This window comes from Homo sapiens, chromosome 6 (genome assembly GCF_000001405.40).
Source record: "Homo sapiens chromosome 6, GRCh38.p14 Primary Assembly".
Lineage (NCBI taxonomy): Eukaryota > Metazoa > Chordata > Mammalia > Primates > Hominidae > Homo > Homo sapiens.
In genome coordinates, this window is record NC_000006.12 from 121863099 (window position 1) to 121888900 (window position 25802).

Below are 25802 nucleotides of genomic sequence, written 5' to 3' on the forward strand. Positions count from 1 at the left end.
TCTTCTCTAGTTCTTTTTATTGTGATGTTAGGGTGTCGATTTTAGATCTTTTCTGCCTTCTCTTGTGGGCATTTAGTGCTATAAATTTCTCTCTACACACTGCTTTAAATGTGTCCCAGAGATTCTGGCACATTGTGTCTTTGTTCTCATTGGTTTCAAAGAACATCTTTATTTCTGCCTTCATTTCATTATTTATCCAGTAGTTATTGAGGAGCAGGTGGTTTAGTTTCCATGTAGTTGTGCAGTTTTGAGTGAGTTTTTTAATCCTGAGATCTAATTTGATTGCACTGTGGTCTGAAAGACTGTTATGATTTCCGTTCTTTTGCATTTTCTGAGTAGTGTTTTATTTTCAATTACGTTGTCAATTTTAGAATAAATATTATGTGATGCTGAGAAGAATGTATATTCTGTTGATTTGGAGTGGAGAGTTCTGTAGATGTCTATTAGGTCAGCTTGGTCCAGAGCTGAGTTCAAGTCCTGGATATCCTTGTTAATTTTCTGTCTCATTGATCTGTCTAATACTGATAGTAGGGTGTTAAAGTCTCCTACTATTATTATGTGGGAGTCTAAGTCTCTTTGTAGGTCTCTAAGAACTTGCTTTAGAAATCTGGGTGCTCCTGTATTGGGTGCATATATACTTAGGATAGCTCTTCTTGTTGCATTGATCCCTTTACCATTATGTAATGACCTTCTTTGTTTCTTTTTAGCTTTGTTGAATTAAAGTCTGTTTTATCAGAGACTAGGATTGCAATCCATGCTTTTTTTGCTTTCCATTTGCATGGTAAATATTTCTCCATCCCTTTATTTTGAGCCTATGTGTGTCTTTGCATGTCAGATAGGTGTCCTGAATACAGCACACCAATGGGTCTTGACTCTTTGTCCAATTTGCCAGTCTGTGTCTTTTAATTGGGGCATTTAGCCCATTTACATTTAAGGTTAATATTGTTGTATGTGAATTTGATTCTGCCATTAAGATGCTAGCTGGTTATTTTGCCCATTAGTTGTTACAGTTTCTTCATAGTATTGATGGTCTTTACAAGTTGGTATGTTCTTGCAGTGGCTGGTACCGGTTGTTCCTTTCCATGTTTAGTGCTTCCTTCAGGAGCTCATGTAGGGCAGGCCTGGTGGTGACAAAATCTCTCAGCATTTCCTTTACTCTAAAGGATTTTATTTCTCCTTTGCTTTTGAAGCTTAGTTTGGCTGAATATGAAATTCTGGTTTGAAAATTCTTTTTTTTTTTTTTTCTTTCTTGAGATGGAGTCTCACTCTGTGGCCCAGGCTGGAGTGCAGTGGCATGATCTCAGCTAACCGCAAAATCCGCCTCCTGGGTTCAAGCGATTCTTCTGCCTCAGCCTCCTGAGTAGCTGGGATTACAGGTGTGCGCCACCATGCCCGGCTAATTTTTGTATTTTTAGTAGAGACAGGGTTTCACCATGTTGGTTAGGCTGGTCTCAAACTCCTGACCTCATGATCTGCCCACCTCAGCCTCCCAAAGTGCTGGGATTACAGGCATGAGCCACTGTGACTGGTCCAAAAAGTTTTTCTTTAAGAATGTTGAATATTGGCCCCCTCTCTCTTCTGGCTTGTAGGGTTTCTGCTGAGAGATCTGCTATTAGTCTGATGGGCTTCCCTTTGTGGGTAACTTGACCTTTCTCTCTGGCTGCCCTTAACATTTTTTTCTTCATTTCAACCTTGGTAAATCTGATGATTATGTGTCTTGGGGTTGCTCTTCTCAAGGAGTATCTTTGTGGTGTTCTCCGTATTTTCTGAATTTGAATGTTGGCTTGCCTTGCTAGGTTGGGGAAGTTCTCCTGGATATTATCCTGAAGAGTATTTTCCAACTTGGCTCCATTCTCTCCATTACTTTCAGGTACACCAATCAAACATAGATTTTGTCTTTTCACATAGTCCTATGTTTCTCAGAGTCATTGTTTCTTTTCACTCTTTTTTTCTATAACCTTGTCTTCTCACTGTATTTCTTTGAGTTGATCTTCAGTCTCTGATATCCTTTCTTCTGCTTAATTGATTCAGCTGTTGATACTTGTGTATGCTTCACGAAGTTCTCATGCTGTGTTTTTCAGCTCCATCAGTTCATTTATGTTCTTCTCTAAACTGGTTACTCTAGTGAGCAATTCGTCTAATCTTTTTTCAAGGTTCTTTTTGTTTCATTTTCTGGGATCTCTCTCTCTCTCTCTCTCTACATATATATGTGTGTGTGTGTGTGTGTGTGTGTGTGTGTGTGTGTGTGTGTGGTCTTGAAAGTTTTAAGGAACAGTGATCAGTTATTTAGTAGAGAGAAAGGTTTGTCTGACGTTCTTCTCATGGTTAGACTGGAGACATGACTTATTATTGGTGATGTTATCCTTCATACCTGGGCAAGATAGTGTTGGATAGTTTTCTCCACTATAAAATTTCTTCCCCTTCCTCTCCCTCCTTTTTTAAATCTTCCTTCATATTCGATTCTTTGGGAGCAAATCATTAAGAACAGTCCATATTTAAAGATTTAGGGTAGTAATCATTAAGTTTCACCTCCTGGAAGGGTGATGTCTTTCACATTTAATTGTATTTTGAGATTTCCTTCATTTGCACTTGACTTGTGAATTTTTATCTGCCTTTTAAAAAATTTGTTAATCTGTATCTTTTTTTTGTATGCTACTTTTACAGTTGAATTCTATTTTACAAGCCAATGTATATCTCTTTGTCTTTTATCAGAGGAATTTCTCAAGATTTTATCTTTACTGATTGATTTCTAAGGGATGCTACTTGCTTCTAACATCATGTTAATCAGCAATGTAAGCTCTGGCATAGCTTACCAACCCTAAGAGTGGCAGGGAGTTGCTCTGTGTAATGGTGGAGTACTCAGCTGTCTTCTCCATGGTGGTTGAGTTCTCTGGATGGGATCAGCTTTCTTCACATGTCACTGAAGTGAAAGGGGACAATTGAAACCTATTTTGACAGGGTGAGTCATTTCTAAGCAAGCAATGTGACCTAAAAAGAAATCTCTTATTTTGTAATACCATAATCTTTCTGGTTCAAATTTTAATAGCTACCATTTGTACGTTTGGCATTATCCTGGATGCTTTATGTGTAACATTTTATTTCATCTTCCCAACATTCCTAAGGGTAAGCCTTGTTAAGATGACATATTCCTCCTAGGAAATGGCAGAAGTTTGAAAACAAGCCCATCTTACTTCTATACCTGTGCTCTTTTCTGCTGCACCAATCCCCTAGTAGACAGAAAAATCCCTGACAGCACATTTCTTCTGCTTCCTACCCTTTCCTGGAACTTTCCAAAATGTTACTATTTATCTGATTCAGGCTCAGAGTCACATAGGCAATTTTACTGTCCTGCTTCCATTAAGTAGTGCAAAAATCAGTAAGTGGTGGTCTAATGCAGACACACAACAAATAAAACAGTAAAAGTCATGATGTGAAATTGTAAGGAGAGAAGAAAGCCTACCTTAAATAAATTCAATTCAACAAACACTAAATTAGCCCCCTGCTATATGGAGATCCTTGGGAAGATAAAAGAGTGAATTAGGCACAGTATTTGTACATTAGGAACTCTCAGATTTTGATTGAAGGAAACCAAAATATTTCTCTCCAAAATAGTGAGCACTGTTGAATTACAAACACTGAAAACACAGGGGAACACTCTGTCTCAGGCTCTGCTTGCCTGATAGCAGGCCATCAATCCTTCCTTAAGACAGAACTTGCTTATCAGCCCAGAGAAGTCACCAGAGAAGTTTTCAGGAGGCACCAGAAAAAATTGCAGACACATTTTACTATCTTCCTACATTTTCCTACCTTTTGAAAGACTGAAACTGCTCTCTCCTTTGTCTTTCTACTATATCGGATTGATGGTTCTTTGTTGAAATACTATTTAAGCAAGTCCCCTAAGTCACTGCCTTGGGAGAGAAATGCTTTTGAACTGAGGCCTCTCCTGCATGATGGGTACAGCATGCATTAATAAACTTCCATTTGTCTCTTTTGTTAATCCAATGTTTGTTTTCAGGAAACTCTCTCAACAGAGAACCTAAAAAGGAAAGAAAAGAAATTATGTTTTCTCCCCTACATAATAAATAAGCATGAGTTGCTTTTTATAAGAATGGGAGTATCCAGAACATGAGACTGTATCACGACAATAAGGATCACAGTCAGAGGGCTTGTCTCCATTGACATTTAAGCACCATGCTCTGAGCCCTGAGTCAGTGCTCAGTTGGAAAGCATGACCTCAAGTGGCATGTTGTGTTTTAGCCAAGAAATTGCAAATTTTACAGGACTTAACAAGTTTAATGGACCGTTCAACTTCTCCCTAGTATACAAGGGAGAGAGTATAAAAAGTATACAAGACTTTTTTATTTCAACATTTTTATATTTACCTAGATTTGTATAAAGTAGACACTTCCCAGACTTTGCAGAAAGTTACTAAACATTAGCTCGGCATAGCAAAATATTTCTAATATTATTGTCTTAATATTACCCACATAAATTGATTATAAATTTTTTTCTCCCACTGTGAGTAGTGTCATTTTTTAAAAACCTAATGCATTTCAAGAAAACAGAACATATTTATGATAGATAGTTCAGTTGGTATTTGCAATGTCCAAGTTGACTTGGAAAAATTGAAACTTACCATACTATTATTCCAAAATTTGATCTTAAGTGCCCAAAGTATGTTTAAATCTTAGCTTATAAAGTGCATCTGAAACTAAAATATTACAGATTTTTTAAGCTCAAGACTATATGTACAATCTTCTATCTGATTTGAAATATTTTATTTCAGATTTCAGTGGGGTTATCTTCAAATCTGGTATTTGTTGAAATGGTGTTTGTTCAAAAGTTGGACATTCTGTTACACATTATCTAATTTGGTGGCATTAGTAAGTGGTACCAAGTTTCCTGTGTGCAGTCTTTGTCCCTCTGCAAAACTCGTAAAGGGAATCCTAAGCAGACATCAGTTTAAGATTTTTAAAATTTTAGTGTACTAAAGTTTAAAAATACATAAGTTCTATCAAAGAAGGAAAGTAGAAAAGCACTGTATTTGCTTCAGGGACGTGATATGAACTCTTGCCTTATGTTTTAACTACATTTCAAATTGCAAGAAGTCAAAAAAGATAAAACTTTATGAGCTTATAGTTATTTCTTGTGCAACACTTGCTAGTAAAAATTCTTCTCTGCCTTCATTTATCTTTATTTTTAGTTTAAAAGCTAAAGCCAAGCCAGGAAGAGGAAGACAAGATGAGAAACCCCAAATCAAGGTAAACATTGCTTTAGCAAAGGATAGAATTGTGAAATAAACCAGAAGGAATATTATCATGCCTGTCATCTTGGTATCTCCCCCATTGCAAAAAAAAAACTTGCTTTCTCTTGATATTCTTTCTGTAAAATAGATACTGTTAGAGAAAATATTTCTGCATTCTTATCTTGTAGAAAAATGTGTCATACGTAATGTATTTCTTTCTCTTATTTCCAGCTGATAGAAATATGAAAGATATTTAAGCCTTGCCCAGACGTTGAACAGATTTCTTAATTAATACTGTAGAGGCTAAAACAAAAACACTTTAAAAAGGGCTTAAATTTTATAATCACCTGCACATTTTGGGCTACATCTGAGTTTCAAACTCATATGAAGGTTTCCGAAGATTCTCTATTTCTTCTTATTTTCAGGTATATATACCTAAGTAGAAGGTATTTCAAGAGCTTTTTTAAAAAGATGGGCAGGGCGCGGTGGCTCATGCTTGTAATCCCAACACTTTGGGAGGCCGAGGCGGGTGGATCACAAGGTCAGGAGATCGAGACCATCCTGGCTAACACGGTGAAACCCCATCTCTACTAAAAAGAATATAAAAAATTAGCCGGGCATGGTGGCGGGTGCCTGTAGTCCCAGCTACGCGGGAGACTGAGGCAGGAGAATGGCATGAACCCAGGAGGCGGAGCTTGCAGTGAGTGGAGATTGCGCCACTGCACTCCAGCCTGGGCGACAGAGCGAGACTCCACCTCAAAAAAAAAAAAAAAAAAAAAAGATGGCATTTTGGCATCTTTGCTTCCAGCAGTATTTGGTCAAAGAGGTTCTTTAAAAATTCTATCAACTTTGCATTTCATGAAAGTGGCTAAAAAGAAGAGTCAAAAGCATAGCATTTAAAATATTTTTATTCTATTCAATTCTGGAAAAAAAATGTTGATGGCCTGAAAGGCAAAGATAATTACTACATGATACTAAATATAAAGCACTAAATTTCTTCAATTAAACTGAAATTTTTGATTATTTTAATGAGGGAATCAAATCAATGGATTAGTTAACAAAAATAATTGATCTATTATAGGGACAAAAAAGCAGGAATTGAATAAACAACAGTTGCCATTGGAATACTTATAGTAGTAATAAACTTTTAATAAAAGTAATAAAGTTTTAATGTACAAATTATTAGGATTATAAAATATTCCACTATTTTGTATTAACTGAAGATGATAAAATATGGGAAAATCACTTTTAATTTAGTAAAATTGCTACTCAAAGTTAATTTTTTTTTTTTTTAAAAAAGGGTGCTTGCTAAGATAGTTTTCTCTTCAAGTTAACGGTATATAATAGACACAGTTTTGAAGTAACTCACACTAAATACTTACTTTACTATTGCCTCCTTCATTGCCTCTCAAGTAGACCTGGTCTAGCCCATTCATGGAAAAAAATAATAAATCAACATATCATAACTTGGTAAATATATGAAGCTGAATTCAATTCACCCATCTGATGAACCTGACAGTTAAATTTAAGGAAAATGTCTATCATGTTCCCATGAATTCACAATGAATGACACTGCCCAGTTGTTACATATAAGCTAACTCATCACACGTCTCCACATGCAGACACTTGGCAGTTTTGGTGTGATCAAATAAGCAACAAATTAGTTGTGTGTCAAAAAAGAAAGGAAAAGAAGAAGAAAAAGGAATTTTCTATATCAACATAAGTCCCATAGTAGCTTAACAAATTATAAAATACAAGAATTACAAAAGGCATAGTGGTGAACATAAACCAAAATACTGTAAAAGTTTCAAGAGTTGCTGAAGTTAGATTACTTTGGTTGGTTTCTGCCTTGTGTTCCCTGCCTTTTTTCTTCTCCGTCTTCCTGCCTGCCACTCTATCCCCTAGTAGCCACATACAGGCTGACCCAGAAGATCATGGTAGGTTAGGAAGTAGACCAGGAAGCTCAGCTCACCACGGAGTGGCACTTAAAATGAAGTCATGTTACCAAGAAGACATGATGTTTTGTATGCCTGGATTAAGCCCTATTAACTAGTGTGGGATTTTTAACATTCCCTTCTGTTCTAATTTTCCTGGATACCTGACTTATTTAAAATACCAAATCTGACTCAAACCATCTTTCTTTCCCTAGCACTGCATCTCAATTGCTGTGCCCTATCCACTGCCTGATGCTCTGTTGTGATTGGACAGATTGCCCAGAAATCAGGACGAAGCATCTCACTATCACCCGAGAAATAATAAGTCAAAGGATCTTTCACTGTTGTCCCTTATTTATTCATTCACCCATTTGTTCGTTCATTCATCCATGTATTAATTAATACATTTATATATTTATTCAGTTTCTCCAATCAAAATTTTTTAAGTAGAATCACCAATAATTAGTAACTGATTGGACATAGCTGGAAATAAATGGAGAAGCCTTTACCAATTCTAGTTTTGATAAAATCCAGACTTTACCAAACAGGGAGTCAGATTACATCCCTCGATTTTGCACCCCTCTCCTTCCTGACTCCATGATACACCCTAGTAAAGGAATCTCTCTGTCTATAGCCTATTATTCTCTCTGCTCTCCATGCACTTCTTTTACAGCCTGTCTTTTATGCTGCTTAGGGAGGCTGCTTCCATTCTCATTTCACTTAACAATTCAGAGTGATAATTTCATATTAGAAGTTAAACCTATGTAAATTGCACAACCTTCTTTTTACTATTTAGTATAAATGGCAATTAAATTCCAAATTCCAAAAGCTTTCCTTAAAAGGAATAGTAACTGGATAAGCTAAATATCTTTAGGTATTTATAAAGCATAGTAAAATATTTAATCACCAAATGGAATTTGGTGTATATTTCTTATTTTCAGAAAATCTTTCTTTCTGTGGCTATTCTGTGATTTTATCATGTTACCCTTATAACAGAAAGGAAAAGCTTAATTTGGAGAATAATTGTATTAGTCCGTTCTCATGCTGCAAATAAGGACATACCCAAGACTGGGTAATATATAAAGGAAAGAGGTTTAATGGACTCACAGTCCAGCATGGCTGGGGAAGCCTCACAATCATGGCGGAAGACAAAGGAAGAACAAAGGGACGTCTTACATGGCAGCAGGCAAGAAGGTATGTGCAGGGGAATTCTCCATTATGAAACCATCAGATCTCATGAGACTTATTTGCTATCATGAGAACAGCATGGGGAAAACCCAACCCTGTGATTCAACTACCTCACACTGGGTCCCTCCCATGACACGTGGGGATTATGACAATTCAAGGTGAGATTTGGGTGAGGACACAACCAAACCATACATTTCTGCCCTTGGCCCGTCCCAAATCTCATGTCCTCACATTTCAAAACCAATTATTCCTTCCAACAGGCCATAAAGCTTTAACTCCTTGCAACATTAACCCAAAAGTCCAAGACCAAAGTCTCATCTGAGACAAGGCAAGTCCCTTCTGCCTATGAACCTGTAAAATCAAAAGCAAGTTAGTTACTTCCTAGATACAATGGGGGTATAGACATTGGGTAAACACACCCATTCCAATAGGAAAAATTGGCCAAAACAGAGGGGCTACAGGCCCTATGCAAGTCCAAAATCCAGCAGGACAGTCAAATCTTAAAGCTCAAAAATGATCTCCTTTGACTCCATGTCTCACATCCAGGTCACACTGATGCAAGAGGTGGGTTCCCATGGTCTTGGGCAGCTCCAAACCTGTGGCTTTGCAGGGTACAGCACTCCTCCTGACTGCTTTCATGGGCTGGCATTTAGTGTCTGAGGCTTTTCCAGGTGCACAGTGCAAGCTGTCAGTAGATCTACCATTCTGGGGTTTAGAGAATGGTGGCCCTTTTCTCACAGCTCCACTAGGCAGTGCTCCAGTGGGGACTCTGTGTAGGGGCTAGCACCCCACATTTCCCTTCCACACTGCCCTAGTAGAGGTTCTCCATGAGGGCTCTGCCCCTGCAGCACACCTCTGCCTGGACATCAAGGCGTTTCTATACATCCTCTGAAATCTAAGTGGAGGTTCCCAAACTTCAATTCTTGACTTCTATGCACCCGCAGCCTCAACACCACGTGGAAGCTGCCAAGGCTTGGGATTTACACCCTCTGAAGCCACAGCCTGAGCTGTATCTTGGCCCCTTTTATCAATGGCTGAAGCAGCCAGGACACAGGGTGCCACGTTCCTAGGCTGCACACAGCAGGGGCCACTGGGCCTGGCCCATGAAACCATTTTTTCCTCCTAGGTCTCTGGGCCTGAGATAGGAGGGGCTTCCTTGAAGGTCTGTGACATGCCCTGGAGACATTTTCCCCATTGTCTTGGATTAACATTGGGCTTCTCATTACTTATGTAAATTTCTGCAGCAGGCTTGAATTTCTCCCCAAAAAATGGGTTTTTCTTTTCTATTGCATCATCAGGCTGCAAATTTTTCAGACTTTTATGCTGTGCTACCTCTTGAACACTTTGCCACTTAGACACTTCTTCCATCAGATACTCTAAACCATCTTTCTCAAGCTCAAATTTCCACAAATCTCTAGGGCAGGGGCAAAATGCCACCAGTCTCTTTGCTATAGCATAACAAGAGTAACCTTTGCTGCAGTTATCAACAAGTTCCTCATCTCCACCTCAGACTACCTCAACCTAGACTTCATTGTCCGTATCCCGAGCAACATTTTGGTTAAAATCATTCATCCAGTCTCTAGGATGTCCCAAAGTTTCCCACATTCTCCTGTCTTCTTCTGAGCCCTCCAAACTGTTCCATCTTCTGCCTGTTACCCAGTTCCAAAGTCACTTCCACATTTTCAGGTATTTGTACAGCAGCACACTACTCTACTGGTACCAATTTACTGTATTAGTCTGTTCTCATGCTGCTAATAAAGACATACCTAGGCTGGGTAATTTATGAAGGAAAGAGGTTTAGTGGACTCAGTTCCACATGGCTGGGGAGGCCTCACAATCATGGCAGAAGATAAGGAGGAGCAAAGTGACATCTTACATGGCGGCAGGCAAGAGGACATGTTCAGGGGAACTACACTTTATAAAACCATCAGATCTCATGAGACTTATTCACTATCATGAGAACAGCATGGGAAAAACTCACCCCCATGACTCAATTTCCTCCCACTAGGTCCCTCCCATGACACGTGTGGATGATTACGATTCAAAGTGATATTTGGCTGGGGACACAGAGCCAAACCATATCAATAATGAAAAAAATGTAATGAAGAAATTATGCTTTTCAAAAATATGGCTACTTTTTAAAAGTTATCTTCAGTACACATCTTTTATTTCTATAAAGTATTTAAAACAAATACTTTGTATGTAAAACAGCTTTCCATGGAAAGTATGTGATTGATTGCCAGACAAGTGATAAAGACTAGCTTTGACATGGTCTTTTTCTTTTTTCAAACACGAGAGAACCCCATGTTTGAACGCACTAGTTCAAAGTCCACCTTGTCAGCTAACAATTGGTGATTAGAGGAGACTTAATCCCAGTGTAACTCCCAGAGGTATGCTGACAAAAAAACACTGGTGATTCTGCACTTCCTTCACATAAAAATCTATTCTAAAGAGGTTATTATAAAAGTCTTTTTTCATCCCCTGTATCTTTGAAGAAGTTAGGAATGATAACTATTACCTTTTTGATTATGAATTTACAAATAAATACTAAGTGGAAAGTGTTCATTTTCCTGGCTTAATTATGTCCAGACAAGGCATAATTTTTTACACTGGTCTGCACAAAGCCTAGGTCTTTTTTCTAAGATGTTGGAAAATCAAGTGAAAAAGCATTTTAATATCCCTGTTCTAATTTTCTCTAACTGTTCTTTCTTTCTGAAAACATTGAAAGCTAATAAGACATAAAGAGTTGACCTTAGTTTCAGAAAAAGTAAATTCGCATGCAATTTATTAGGCATCTACAATCTGTTTTAATGATACCAACATTGGCCAATGCCACCTCTTAACAATGAAATTATCCAAAATTTCTGTGTTCTCTATGTCAAAAAGATAAACATCTGTTTATGGCAAACATACAGTTTCCCTACAAACATATAACTATGGAAATAAAGTCATTGGAAGGAAAAATGATCATGCTCAGTATACTGGAGCATGACAGCCTGGTTATCCTGGCTCCACTGTTGGATGTCTAGGATGGCTAATTTTATTCAGAACCTGATGCCCTCTTTTGAGGGAAGAACATCTCAGATAGACCCTTGCAGCCAGTGTCTTTCACTGTAAGTCTCAGGATAATCATCACCTCAATTTCAGTTTCACTGATCTCTGGCCTCCAGCACTTTCTTTCTGCTGTCAGTTTCCTTGGCATTCCACAAGTGGAACCAGAATTCAGATTTGTTTTATTTAGATCAAAGATCAGCAAACTTTTTTTGTGAGAGTCCAGATAATGGGGCCAGGAGCAGTGGCTCACGCCTGTAATCCCAGCACTTTGGGAGGCCAAGGTGGGCGCAGTAGGTCAGGAGATTGAGACCATCCTGGCTAAAATGGTGAAACTCCATCTCTACTAAAAATATAAAAAATTAGCCGGGCGTGGTGGTGGGTACCTGTAGTCCCAGCTACTTGGAGGCTGAGGCAGGAGAATGGTGTGAACCCAGGAGCCAGAGCTTGCAGTGAGCAGAGATCATGCCACTGCACTCCAGCCTGGGCAACAGAGCAAGACTCTGTCTCAAAAAAAAAAAAAAAAAAAAAAAAAAGTCCAGATAATGAATTTTTTAAGCTTTGCAGGCAAAGAGGCAAAATCATGGAAATTACATAGATGTTACATAATCAGAGAGAAAACAAATTTCCACATATTTTTAATTGATGAAATTTAAATATAATAACAATTATAATTGAGTACTACAGCATTCAAGTTATTTTGAGTACTGCAAAATAATATGTATATATATTTTTTTACTTTTTTACTTTGTACCGAAATGAATTGAAATAATTTTAATACAAGTCTAATAATGAGAAGAATGGAGTTCCCCCTTTTGGGGGTTGCAGGTAACATTTGCTTAACTGAAATTCCTAGTGTTTTCTCTTATCAAAATCAGTTACAAGTATCATCTGTTAATGCTATCCATAATGAAATTTTATAGATTTTGTCTTCCAAAACATCTTTTAGCACAGATGGCACTGCCAAATACTGTTATCAATCCACCAGCATATGATTTTAATCATAATTAAAACTTGAAATATATTAACACACTCCTATTAGAGTCTTTTGATATTTGGCTTTTAGCGTGTCACTACATTTTGGATGAATAAGTTCTAATTGAAGGTTAGGTGACTAATTGAAGGTCAGGTGAAAGCTTCTCAATGTCTTAGTGAAATATATTTTGAAATATGAAATTTCCTTTTCATTTGCATCAAGGTCTAAAGAGTTCTGCTGAAACTGCAGTTTGAGTTCAAAGAACATATGCACTAAATATTCATATGAGGATGAAAATCTTGACTGTTGCTTTAACTTTTGCCAACATGTGGTTCAAAATTGTCATTTGAGAAAATATTACTTGCCAAAATGACTTTATTGCAGTATCGTTCACATATAAACTCTAAATTCCCTTGTAATTTTAGATTGAATTAATTAAGTAATCAAGTCTGCAGTAACAGCAAATTTCCAAAGCTGTTTAGTATTAAATAATACTGATTCAGGGCAATTATTCTTGTTCAAGACAATGTCAAAAGCTTAGTAAATTTGTCCAAATAAGCCATTTTCTGCTCTACACTTTTGTTTCCATCATTAGTTATAACACATCTTAGCAGATACCACTTCAGATTTTACTGAATTGTTGCTTTCTCAATTTTTTTGGAAAATATTCTCTCCTGTAATTATCCCACATGAACTGTTCATACACACTAATTCTTCAGTCATCTCAAACTTGGCATTAATTCCTCAAGTGAAAAACAACTCAGTAGTTTTGGTAACCCCTGTTAACTTACCAAGAGCCAAAACTAACCACTAAACACAATTTCCTTTGTTTTTTAATTGACTATTGACATTGCTCCCAATGTCCTCAACTCTTTGAACTGTTATTCTCATTAAAAGGCTAATAATCTTCAGTAGAGTTTTCTCTAGGCAGATATTAACTATAGCTGCAATCAAATGTGATTTAATTAATTCACAATTTGTAAATGAATTTCCTTGACTAACAAATGAGCAATGTGCACATAAACTTTGGTCACAGTCTGATTTTCATTTTTTATTTTTGTGAAGAAATTCTGCTGTGACAAAATAGTCCATGTTAAATTTTTTTGTTATTGCCTTTTTTGTGATTTGGAAGAATACTGTAGTGCATGCATGGTTTTTGGTGACACTGATGTATATTGCATTTTATCACAGCTGTAGTGTCATTGCATAATAAATACAACCCTTCACAATTGAATTCAATAATAAAATAACCTACATTCCATTGTGCCTCAAAGGTACAACTTTCAAACCCCCATTTTCTCTTCTTTTCTTCTTTTGACATAATAAATACCCATTGACAATTTATAAAAATTATGTTGTGGTGGAGCAATATGCATGACATATTGAAATGCTGTTGAGTTACAATTGCATCACTGTGATCTGTAGTACATTGAGCAGGAGTGTGAAGTCATGAGAGTGTCACATATGGTTTCTATTGTCATTACTTAACTTTGCCAGTATAGCACAAAAGCAATGGTATATAGTACATGAACAAATGAGTGTGGCTGTGTTCCAATATTATTTTATCTGTAGATAATGAAATTTGAATTTCATATCATTTTCAAGTGTCACCAGATATTATCTTTTTGAGTTACTTTCAACCACTTAAAAATGTTAAAAAACCGGCCGGGCGCCTTGGCTCATGCCTATAATCCCCGCACTTTGGGAGGCTGAGGCAGGTGGATCACAAGATCAGGAGTTCGAGACTGGCCTGGCCAATATGGTGAAACCCTGTCTCTACTAAAAATACAAAAATTAGCTGGGCATGGTGGCGGGTGCCTGTAGTTCCAGCTGCTTGGGAGGCTGAGGCAGGAGAATCACTTGAACCTGGGAGGTGGAGGTTGCAGTGAACTGAGATTGCGCCACTGCACTCCAGCCTGGGTAACAGAGAAGACTGTCTCAAAAAAAAAAAAAAGTTAAAAACCATTCTTAGCTCATGGATGTACAGATGTACAGAAAGAGGCAAAGGGCCGGGTTTAATCCATGGTTCAGAGTTTGCAATCCTATTTAGACCAAAAATTTCACATGGCTGCCATTTCTATTTTCATTCATTAGAAGAAGAAAGAGGAGAAAGAAGAGGAGAAGGGAAAAGAGGAGGAGGAAAAACAGGATAATTTTTAAATGTCTGAGCTACTTAATCTTCCTCCTGTCCATGTTGTGGAGAGAAGGAGAGATAGAAGAGGAGAGGAAGGAGTAGGGGGAAGATTAGGTATTTATGTACATCTCAGTAAAGCCTGCTCCTCGTGGTCATAGTTCACTTTCTATCTCTAGAATCACACTTGAGCCCCTCGTGACTCTAATTTTGTACTGAAAATATGAAATAACTCACTTCTATAGTCCCAAAGTCAGATTTAGAATAAGTATGTTTTAGGATTATTAGTCATACAAATACTTACTGATTTGTTCTCCATACCTCAATTTAAACCATAAAATGAAGCTGCAAAATGTTTGTAAATTTTCAAATGTCTGGGCTACTCATTCTTATCCATGTTCACATTGTGGGTATACATTTTTGTGCATGTGTTATATATAAACTGGAGCTCTCTCCATTTCTACCTCTGCTCTCAAACATATACCTTAGGAAGGAGAAATCATAAGGAATTTGATTGGAAATACTACTTTGCAGGAAGGGAAACTAAGGCTAAGCAATTTATACTTAGTATGATGTCTTTTATAATGACACCACACTCAGTGGGGCATAATATTAAAAAAAAAAAAAAAAAAAGCCTCTTAGAAGAATAATGGTGGAGTCTATTGTCCTAAAAAGGACAGGACAAAATAAAGCTAAATAACCATAGCCTTTCATTTCACATGTGCATATATATATATCTGTCATGAGACATATATATATGCATTTGCTTTGAATACGAGATTTCATTTTCTAATCTTAGTGACCACTTTGATGAAGATTAACTACCAGATGATCTAGTGTGAAAAAAAGCAAATTTTCCTTTGGAGTATGTACTGAACCTGAACTGAAACTCATATTTACTTATAATCATGTAATTAGAATGCATCCCATCTTCCTGAACAAATGAGATCCTTATAAACATTTAAACTAAGTCAGAGGTGCCATTTGAGTTGGTAGGCATGGAACAGACCAAAAAGGGAAACTTCTACCTGCTGAGGAAAGTAATAAGATTTCCTGAAAAGGGGATAAAGGACTGAAATAAGAAACATGAAAAAGGACTTCTTTAGGAAAATGTGATTTTTCAAATGAAAGAAGGAAGTTGTAAAGGAGGAAATTTTGCAAGGACTTAAGTGTGGAAATATAAAGAAGTAACTACATTAACTACACTGCAAATAGTTCCAATCTCCTTCTTTCTGGTTGTATTACCACCTAGAAATTTGCCCATCTCCTTATGACCTTTGCATATCAAAACGTTTAATGTGGAGGCTGATAATTGAAGGTGGTGTAAGTTAGGAGGATAGACTGAGAAATGGACAGAAGAGATGATAGGGTATCCTTTCAGTGGGATATGGGGTGATTTTAGACCTTTTGGGGGATAATCCAATTTAAGAGTATACTAAGCTATTTTGCTACTCAATAGGGGTAGGAAACTGATCACTTATAGGAAACTACAGGTAATTCAGATGAATCTTTTCCATAACTATGCAAATAAAATTGATACTTCAGAAATACAATCAATTTAAAGGTTTATATTTCATAGTCTCAAAGTGTGATTCACCGTCCACATGTGACCCAGAGATCCATTCCAGAGGCCTAAAAGATCAAAACTATTTACATAATAATACTATGATGTATCTGCCTTTTTCACTTCTACTCTTTTACAAGTTTACAGTGGAGTTGTCCAGCTACAGACATATGATATCACCACAGATGATTGCCAAGGCAAATATGAGATTCCAGATGTTTTCTATTAAGCTAGACATTAAGGAGACTTGCAAAAATGTAAAACAATGCCACCCTTCTCACTGCATTTGTGTCAGTTTTAGAAAATATGACCAATTTTCATAAATATATTACTTAAATTATAATATAAAGTACTATCTGCCACCTCAAGATTATATTGTCATTATATTTCTTCTAGTAGTTCAGTGTTTCAATTTTCTATTATTAATTTTCAGTACATTTGGAACTTACTCTGCCGTGTGGCATGAGGTAGGGATCTAACTTTTTTTTCCAAGCCATCAGCCAGCTCATTTACTAAATAATCTTTTCTTTCTCAGTCATTTAAAATGGCACCTCTATCATATATTAGAGTCCTTTATATACTTATATGTTTCTGGATCTTCTAGTGTATTACATTAATTTGCCTCTATCCTAATACCAGTAATAAACTTTAAAAATTATTAAGATTGTATAATCTATTTTAATGTATAGTACGGCAAGGAAACCCTCACTATTCTTTCTCGCATTTCTTTCCCAAAAAACATTCCTCTTAAAGAAAGCAAATATGTTCAAAAATTGCAAGTAAATGTATGAATTATGTGTAAGCTGTTAGCAAAGCATTGAGTAGTCTTTAGATGGAGTTGAAACTCAGTCTACTAAAACCCCAAAACCCATAATGAGCAACTACTATGTGCCACAGAGGTGCTTTTTAAAGCTTTAAAAAGTGCTTTTTATTAACATATATGTTGGTTTTGGTATAAGCAATTTTTCTTAGCATCTCAACTCATGTTTTAGTCTTGCATGGAATATAAGATATCCAAAAAGTATTAATGTATCATTTCAAGATTTATCTATATTTAGTTTTTCCCAAATCACAAGCCACTATTTTTATAATTAATTATTAGTTTGAAAAGAACAAGAGTTCTAATATATTTTTCATTTTCAGCAAGATTGCTATCTGGTGTGCTAATTATAACAATTATTGTTGTTCAAAAACAAAGCACCACAATTTTCTCTGTTCCATTTTGGGCGATTAGGTTGTCAGGAATATGTAGAAACTTGTCTTGGAAGTTTCCTCACCTGTTCCTTTGTAATAGCAGTGAAGAATGGCTTGATAAGAGACAACACAAATTGGCAATGTCATAAAAGATTTCATTCTCTAAAATCATATGTTAATTTTTTGCGTAAAAGATGATACATATTAACAAATAACAATTAACTACCTTAAGTGTAAACAAATGCAGAAAAGCAGCAACAGTAATAGCTGTACCATTTTAGGAACATTTGAGTGGCTACTCTATAGTTCCCTGTCATTCAAATTATTCATCCATTTATTTGTACTAAATATTTTCTTAATGTCTCTTTTAAAAGATTTTAATGGTTTTTTTAGTTTAATTTATGTAATATGAAGCTACATATATAATATCTATATGTTTCTTTATACAAATGTTTCTTTACTCAGTTCTTCAGGCTTTCTATATAAAATGTCTTAGCATAGCTAAGTTATTCCACATTTTACTGCCTTTGAAATTCCAAGAAGGGTTTCCTGTACTCTGTTGGCCCTTTTTCACTTTCTTTCTGTTCTTTTTCCCCTCAGATTCTCCTGGGCAGTAATATCAAATAGCCATGAGGACATCTGATATTTCCAGAGAGAGGATTTTGTTGTTGGTGGAGGGGGGAAAAACAACAAAAGACCTTTTTGGAAACAGGAAATCATTTTAAATTGACCACATTTAGCATTCCAAAGCTAGAAGCTTTGGAAAGTTTTATTTTATTGCTTTTTGATGTCAGCCTAATGCAGGGTTCCATACTTAGTCTGGATGTCTTAGAATTATTACTTTAGAAAGCGATGCATAAAAACATTCTGCAGAATTGCAGCCTTATGTATGTGCCAATAGTTCTATCCACCTATCTATCTAGTTCCTCCTAAATAAGCTTTGTATATAAAACAAGACTTATATATTGCAAACAAATTCAATGAGTGATAATAAGCAGTGATTTATAGTATAAGATGAAGGAAACTATACTGGTACTCTGTGGATAATTATTTTAATATATGATATATTTGGATTTATGGGCTTGCTTCTAGATATGCAAATTACTTCTATGAATTATAAAATGTTTAGAAGACAATAAACATGACAACATAATTATAATGTGTTAATTTAGTTTATATGGAGACAATTGACAATAACATTACTTTGACCCAAGTAATCCATGTTTAAGTCATAGAATCTATAGAAAACTGATTGAAATATAATTAAAGAGAGATAGATAACATTCCCTCTATACTTTGCTTCTCTCTACTCAAAGTGTGAAATCTTAGACAACAGAGAAGAAAATTAGTAAATTACCCTTTTCCCAATTTTTAAATTTTTGGTTGCAATGGGCAGAACTTGTGGAGAAAGTTGAAACACAGGCTAAGTGCTCATCATTTTTGGAAGATCTTTTTTAATGCATTCTAGGATTACTTAAGTTCCTTTTACATGACCATATGGGAAACTAAAGGAAAACCAAAGATACATCAGCATTTATTTCCTATATGTATCATGTATACATGAGGCAGATAAAGAATTACCATCTCCTCTGGTAAACTGAATTTGTACCTGCCTAAGAGAGAATGAATGACTCTACAATCAAATACTCCAAGGCTTGAGCATCCTGGCATCAATAACAGTCAAGAGAGCCCGCCCAAAGGGAAAGTGGAGTCCAGCACACTGTAATCTGCTTCCACCCATGAAAGGCACTGAAGAGAACATCAGGCCCTGTGTTATTACATAGGTCAAATTCCCAATGCTATTATGGGAAGCTCTGAACACAGTGGTTGTTTGGAGGAGCTCCAGAGGAAGTGCCTCTCCTTACCCCATTGTATGTTCTTGTCACAGAAATCCCATCTGTAGTATTCACTATTGTATCTACAGTGTGTACAACATTGTGATGTTCAATGAATTGAGAATATAATAAATGTTATAAACTGACCCATAGTGATAATCACACTGAGCATTCCAGTCTCAAAGAGACCCAGGGTCAAGCTGAAGATTTTATAGGGCTCTACTGGGAGATGACCATCACAGGAGCTATGCCTGGCAAGAATCCACTAGTAACCACAAGTCACTGAGTACAGAGGGAAGTATGAGAGACAGCAGAAGGAGACCTGCCTTGAGTTGCATCTTTTGCTAACCGGAATTGCCTTTGAAAGCCTAAATCCCAAAGCATAGTTCCCTGCTCTCTGCTGTGTTGCAAAGATTTTAAGTGGCAGATTTGGAATTGAAGGGACAAAGGGAAAAGTGTAGAAAAAGCAAGTGACTCATAGTGTGCCACTCAATTTAGAGCAATGTAGCATGCACTTTTTGTGGATTCACTATGAGTTTGGCAAAGTTGTTAATCCACATCTCTTTTTGTGTCTCAGTTTTACACATCTATAACTTTAATTGTCAGCTCTCTGAGGTTTGGGGGAAGGACTGACTTAACCCACATAAACCTGGATTATACCAGAATCAATGATTCCATTACTGAAGAGTTTTTAAGATCAATAAGTTGCTCTGGGTTAATTACACAAGGACATGCATAAACATGGTTCAGAGTATCCATTTCATATTTTTTTTCCTGAAGTATTCCCTGGCTGGAAACTCTACTTATGTTCATTTTCTCCAGCTCATTCCCTCACACTAGGTACCTCCATTCAAAAAAGATCCATCTATGTAAAGGTCATTTTCATTATATTACAATGAAATTCATTCCAGGAATAGCGGTATTCACAGGCTGCTATAATAGTTGTTACAGGTGGATTTCCTGCTGAAGAGTCATATTCTCCTAAAAGGAGGTTACAAATTTCAAGGAAAGCAAGCTCTGCTAGCTAGACTGACAAGTCCTGAAATGGGTATTGCCAGGTGAAATTGTCTTCTTCATCCTAAACCACTGTTTACCAAAGAATGTGGACTGCCTGTTGAAAATTACAGCCTCAGAGTTTCCTTGGACTATGCTAGAGGCAGATTTTCCAAGTTCAGTGTTCTCAGTGTGCCAGCTTAACCTCTTAAGTTCATACTGTGTGATAAGTGAGAGCCCCGTGTAAATCCTCTTGGCTACTCTTTTTTTTTTTCCTGAAGAATCCACATCTTTACACTTAAAAATGAGTTTTCTGGGATTGTGAACTGCTCAATCATTGGAAATGTGTTCACAGAACTAATCAAGTGAAAAAAAGTGGTGGCTGTAATGAATTTAATATAAAACCTCAAGAGACTATGTCTGATTTCTTGCAAATGAACTGAGGTGGATAACAATGTCAACCTCTGTATGCTGAGATTTCTTGCTACTGCCAGTAAGATGATATCATTCTTTAGCCAAATTCTATTTTACTTATTAATGAAAATTCTGGAAGATATAGAAAACTAGAATGAAAAAGGAAACATCCATAATCTTATATTCTCAGTCAACTATACTGATATATTTATATTTGTCTGTCTAGCAAAATCCATTTTCTATATATGTGTTCTGTGTAGTTATATTGTCAAGCTAATACTTATGGAGCATTTGTTAGCCATATTCCCTAGATTTTCCACTTACTACTTTATTTTATCCTCACCCAAATTCTATTAATTAGTTTTATGTTTTACAGATAAGGAAACCGAAGTTCAGATAAGTCCAGTGAAAGCCCCTAACCACAAAGTTAGTAAAGGAAATATTGAGATTCACATCCATGTCTGTCTGGGTTCAATAACCATCTGTTAGCTGTTACTTTGTATAGCCAATAGTGTAAGGAATGTGTCAAACACAAAAATGTTTGAGAATGGATCATCCCCAACAATAACAACCACTTTAAGAGCAAAAATACTGAGTTGCATTCCTTGAAAAATGTTAACGTGTGCAATTATATTCAACAATGCTAGAGACCACTGAGAACTAAGTATCTTCCTAAAGCAAATGTCGCCTTTCATAGTCAGAGATATTTGGCAACCCTAACAGAGTCACATGCATTCATTTCTTCCATGTGCAGAAGCAAACAGATGTGCATACACTGCAAAGCACAAAGGAGCTTGTCCTGGAGACTATTTTGTCCCAAACGTGACATTCAAGTCCTCTGGGGAAATATGAAGTCATTGGCGTTGTATGCAGTTATAGCAAGACCTCAAGGGGTTTTAGTAGTTTTGGTAAAAAACATATGGATAATTATTAAGAAACAGTATAAAGCCCAAATATACTTACTTTGACTTAAAATGAACTGGAATAATTGGATTCAGATTTTCCCAATGACAAGGGTGATTATACAGAGTTTAGCTTGAGCTCAGGAGTTAGGTGGCACATGTTGAAAATGACACCTGTATCAACACCCGTTCTTTGCCTTTCTTCCTCTGAAAAGTTGGGATAATAACACTTTTGAGCACCATTGTGAGAGAGAGTGCATAATCCATGTAAAGTACTCAGGACTGTGCCTGACTCAGAGTTTGCATTTAAGAAATGCTAGCAATTCAACACTAGAACAGATTAGTTAATGGAATCCTTGAGAACATATTTTTCTCTTTCTTTGTAATGGATTTGGTATAGTATAGTATTTCTTTTCATCTTTCAGTGTATGACTTAAAATTCTAGAAAAAAGCTCTGGACATACATAATTTAAAAACATTGTAGACTTTCATCTCATTTTTCTTTATACGAGACTTAAGTCTTCATGATTTGATTAACATTAAGAGCTCTCACGCTCTTTTCTCTTTTGCCTCAGTTGCCCAAGTCATTTAAAATACTGATCATACACCTTTATTCTGTTTATTAGCTTTGTGTATCTCTGATCTTATAGTATCAAGCCATTTTTTTCTCTGTCTTTTTAATACTTTATTGAGAAAACTCCAAATCACAGTGTTTAAAACTACAAAATTAAAGTGATTAGGCACAGAAAAAATGATTAAGCCAAATGATCATTAGAGAATCAGAAAAGAAGCCTGTACACCTTCATACTGCCCCTTAGTTGGTACGTGACTTGGGCAAATCACTCATGATTCCCCGGTTCAGCTTTCTTATCTGTAAAATGGAGATTATAATATCTGTCAGGCCTTTCTCCAAGGATATTGCGAAACAAGATAGCAAATGTAAAAACTCTCTGTGTACTCTATAGATTGAGGGCATGAAAGCTTGTTTATTTAAGCTGTGGGATATGCGAAAGCTCTGTGTAAACTATAGAGTGCAAAAGTGCACATGACATTGTATGGGAGTTTATATATTTAATCCCTCCTGATGGAGACACTGTGCTATGATCTGGGGTTTTGCAACATGGTAGCAGCTTTCCAGGAAAGGGAGTTTGCAGCTCTAAGTAGAATCTGATAAGAGCCCAATAAGTGATCTTGAGAGTGTGTACTCTAGGTGTCCAGGGAAGGAAAGGAGAATCAGGGACTGACTGAGCTCTTAGGAAACACCTACAAAAGAGGTGGGTTTCTGACCCTTGCATTAAATATTGGGTAGGATGGAAATAAATGGAGGACAGAAGGGGGTGTTCCAGATGGGAGGAACAGCCAGATCAAATATGTACAGTGGTGGAAGAGCACCAAGGTTGAGCAATGGACTGATTTGAATGAGGCAGAACCTTCCTGTAGGGAAGCAATGAGAAATGAAACTGGCAAGGCTGAGAGAGGCTCAATGGGAGGCCAATATAATGATGTACTTTGTTAACACATCACATTTGAAAGGAAGGCCACTGAAGGATTTTTTGAACAGGAGAGTGACGTGGTAAAAACTGAACTGTAGCTTCAGACAAACCCATTTTTAATCCAAACTGGCCTTTTAGCCTATATTTTCTTAGGCATCACTTACTGGACACACATGGTACAGTGGAAAAAGTGTGAGACTCGGAGTCATGGGAGGATCTTTGGAATGTAAGACCTCTTTTCTGGACCTACCTTTGGGCCAGCATGGCAGGCAAAGCCATTGCCTCATATCCTGCTCTTTCCCAACTCTTCTGGAACCATTTCTGCCACATTCTTGCTTCATTGAATTTCTACCAGTGTCCTCCAGGTTAAGAGTACAAAAAAAGGTTAAAAGATGTTTTCACTGAAAAGTCTTCAAAGAGATTTGAAACTGTCCTGTCTGGTATTAATTCTTTTTCTATTCCTTTATTGCTCAATCTTGTTTCGTTGGTCATGTTGTGTTTCAGCATTGAGTGTGCTATTACATCACAATTAGAAGCATATGATTACATTTTAAATGACCATTTCCTGTCCAGATTCATCACTAAAATGGCCTTTATAGTTAGTAAATTCCAACCCACATCTAATGCTATTTTAACATCAGATATGTTCTTACTATTTAGAATTATCTTAAGCCACGCTTTTACATGGAGAGTTTGCAAATCTTTTTTTTATGTGTGGAAGCTTATGTTAATGATGTCTTTGGCCCTTTCTGGGCCAGAAATATTTGGTTCTTAAGGTATTAGTGGATTCCCCATAGATTATTTAGGTTATGACATGCTAGCGATAAGATTTTTCTTCACTTTTAACTAGGGAAAATAAACTCATTCTGCCTATCTGCTCTCTGTTTCTCAAAACTGGAAAGAGGAATAAACTTGTTTTTACATATTCCTTGATTTTTACCTTGGCCTCTAGAGAGTGGCAGAAACTTGTCACTCCATATACACGTGTAGATTTGGAACCAACATTTTTAAAATCATTCTCCACATAATCTAATTTGTACACAAAGGGCAAGTCTGCTATAACTGCCAAGCCAATAAACAGGACTGAATCTAGTCTCCTAGCAAAATGATCAATACGGTATCCCCTTAAAGTGTAAAATAGAATTGTGGGGAGCCTAGATCGCTACAGTAGAGAATCAACCATCTCAGTTTCTATTTCTTTCTCATAGACATTAAATATAACTTTAGTCGAATTGTCTCAATTTCAAGAATGTATTATTTTATTTTTCACATTGTGAAATGATATAGATATTTGATGTCCCAAACAATCATGGTCTGTCTATGGAGCAATGTGAGATCCTTAAAAAACAAGTAAACAATGGTGGAAATGCCTATGGTAATTTGAATCTGGAAACTATGATAATATCATTGCCATCTGAGTTTTAAGTTGTTATAAATGAGAATGGATTTAGAACAGTGTTACTATGAATTTATTCCCCATGCCATAATCAGTAACATTTTATAGATAAAAAAGGATGTTTCAAAATGGTCTTTTAGGGTAATTACTTGTAGTTTATTGTTCTTACACGAAAAATGCTCAGAGCTTAAATTTTCTGAAACTGGACAAGATGGCCAACATGTATTCCTCAATTTTCAACTAAATTGGTTATGCTCTGTTATGATATCTCTTTGGAGAATCATTCAGATAAACCCACTCTCTGTTTCAAATAAAAGGTTGAGGTAATTAAAAGAGATTTTTATAAAAACAACTCTCATCCCTGTTAAGAAAATCAGGAATCATTACTGACATGAGATATAAAAAAAAAACCTCATGGACTCCTTACAAGACTAAAGATCTCTCTTGCGACTTTTTGAAAGCCATACTTTGAATTGCATTTTCAAAGCCAGCACCTCCCCCAGATGACGAAATAAATTGAAAACCGAATGTTTTCAATCAAAGAAAGAATTCTCATGCTGGAAGGGAGAGGAAATAGAAAGATACCATTCTTACGATTATACTTAATTCCAAGTATAGTTATCAATTCTCACCTTTTAAACTCAAGAAGTCATTAATATTTGTACATGCCTATGGCATGGTCTAATGACACAAAAGACATGGTCACTGGTTACATTCATTATGTATATATTTGTGCATACATAAAATGTATGAGAATGGATGTGTAATAGCAGAGTGCATGTTAAGAACATAAAAATAAAGGTACATTTTACTACTGTCACAGCAGTGTACACATAAATTAAAAACTAGAGTCTATGGATTAATTAAACCAGATAGTTCAAGAAAAGATAATATTGCATCATTTGGAAGAAGGATAGGGCTGGGTGTGGTGGTTTACACCTGTAATCCCAGCACTTTGGTATGCTGAGACCGTCCAATCTCTTGAGGTCAGGAGTTCTCTGAGACCAGCCTGGCCAATATGGCAAAACCCTACCTCTACTAAAAATACAAAACTTAGCCAGGCATGGTGGTGCATGCCTGTAGTCCCAGCTATTTGGGAGGCAGGCTGAGGCATGAGAATTTCTTGAACCTGGGAGGTGGAGGTTGCCGTGGGCCAAGATGGCACCACTGCACTCCAGCCTGGGCAATAGGAAAGTGGTTTTGCAGAGAGGAAGCAAAAAAATACCATTGTGTCATTTACGTCTGTGTGACCCCTTGAGCTACTCTCCTTCCTTCTTCATCTGTCCTTGGCCTCAAAAATGGACCTGCATTGGTCACATCCCCGCCCCCCCCCCCCACGCCCGCCCCATGCCCTGTGGCTTTGTACTGTTTCATTTGAGGTTCTGTTCACTTCTCTGTTTCCTCAACACTTTCGGATTAAGAGTGGTAACAGTTCACTGCTGCTGGCCGCCACTCCTGACCTATCTGTGGTGATTTACTTTCTTTC

At 36.7% G+C, this 25802-nt stretch overlaps 1 long non-coding RNA gene across 7 annotated transcripts in view, besides 1 other annotated feature; it reads left to right on the forward strand.

The window, feature by feature from the left end:
* The window catches only part of LOC105377979 (uncharacterized), a 288164-nt gene that overhangs the window by 95720 nt on the left and 166642 nt on the right, over window positions 1–25802 (forward strand). For 5 of the 7 annotated variants that reach the window (XR_942936.3, XR_001744323.2, XR_001744324.2 and 2 more), the window contains 2 exons: window positions 2713–2959; window positions 5204–5261. The exons of 1 other annotated variant lie outside the window; for it this stretch is intronic. This is a non-coding gene — a long non-coding RNA (uncharacterized LOC105377979). The remainder of the gene's footprint in view (window positions 1–2712; window positions 2960–5203; window positions 5262–25802) is intronic. One more of the 7 variants, XR_007059731.1, reaches the window with a different exon arrangement.
* Window positions 22245–22539: an enhancer, noted in NCBI's record as "tiled region #11019; HepG2 Activating DNase matched - State 8:EnhW". NCBI's record gives its function as "activates a minimal TATA promoter and a strong SV40 promoter by Sharpr-MPRA in HepG2 cells {active_cell/tissue: HepG2}" and the evidence as "EXISTENCE:reporter gene assay evidence [ECO:0000049][PMID:27701403]".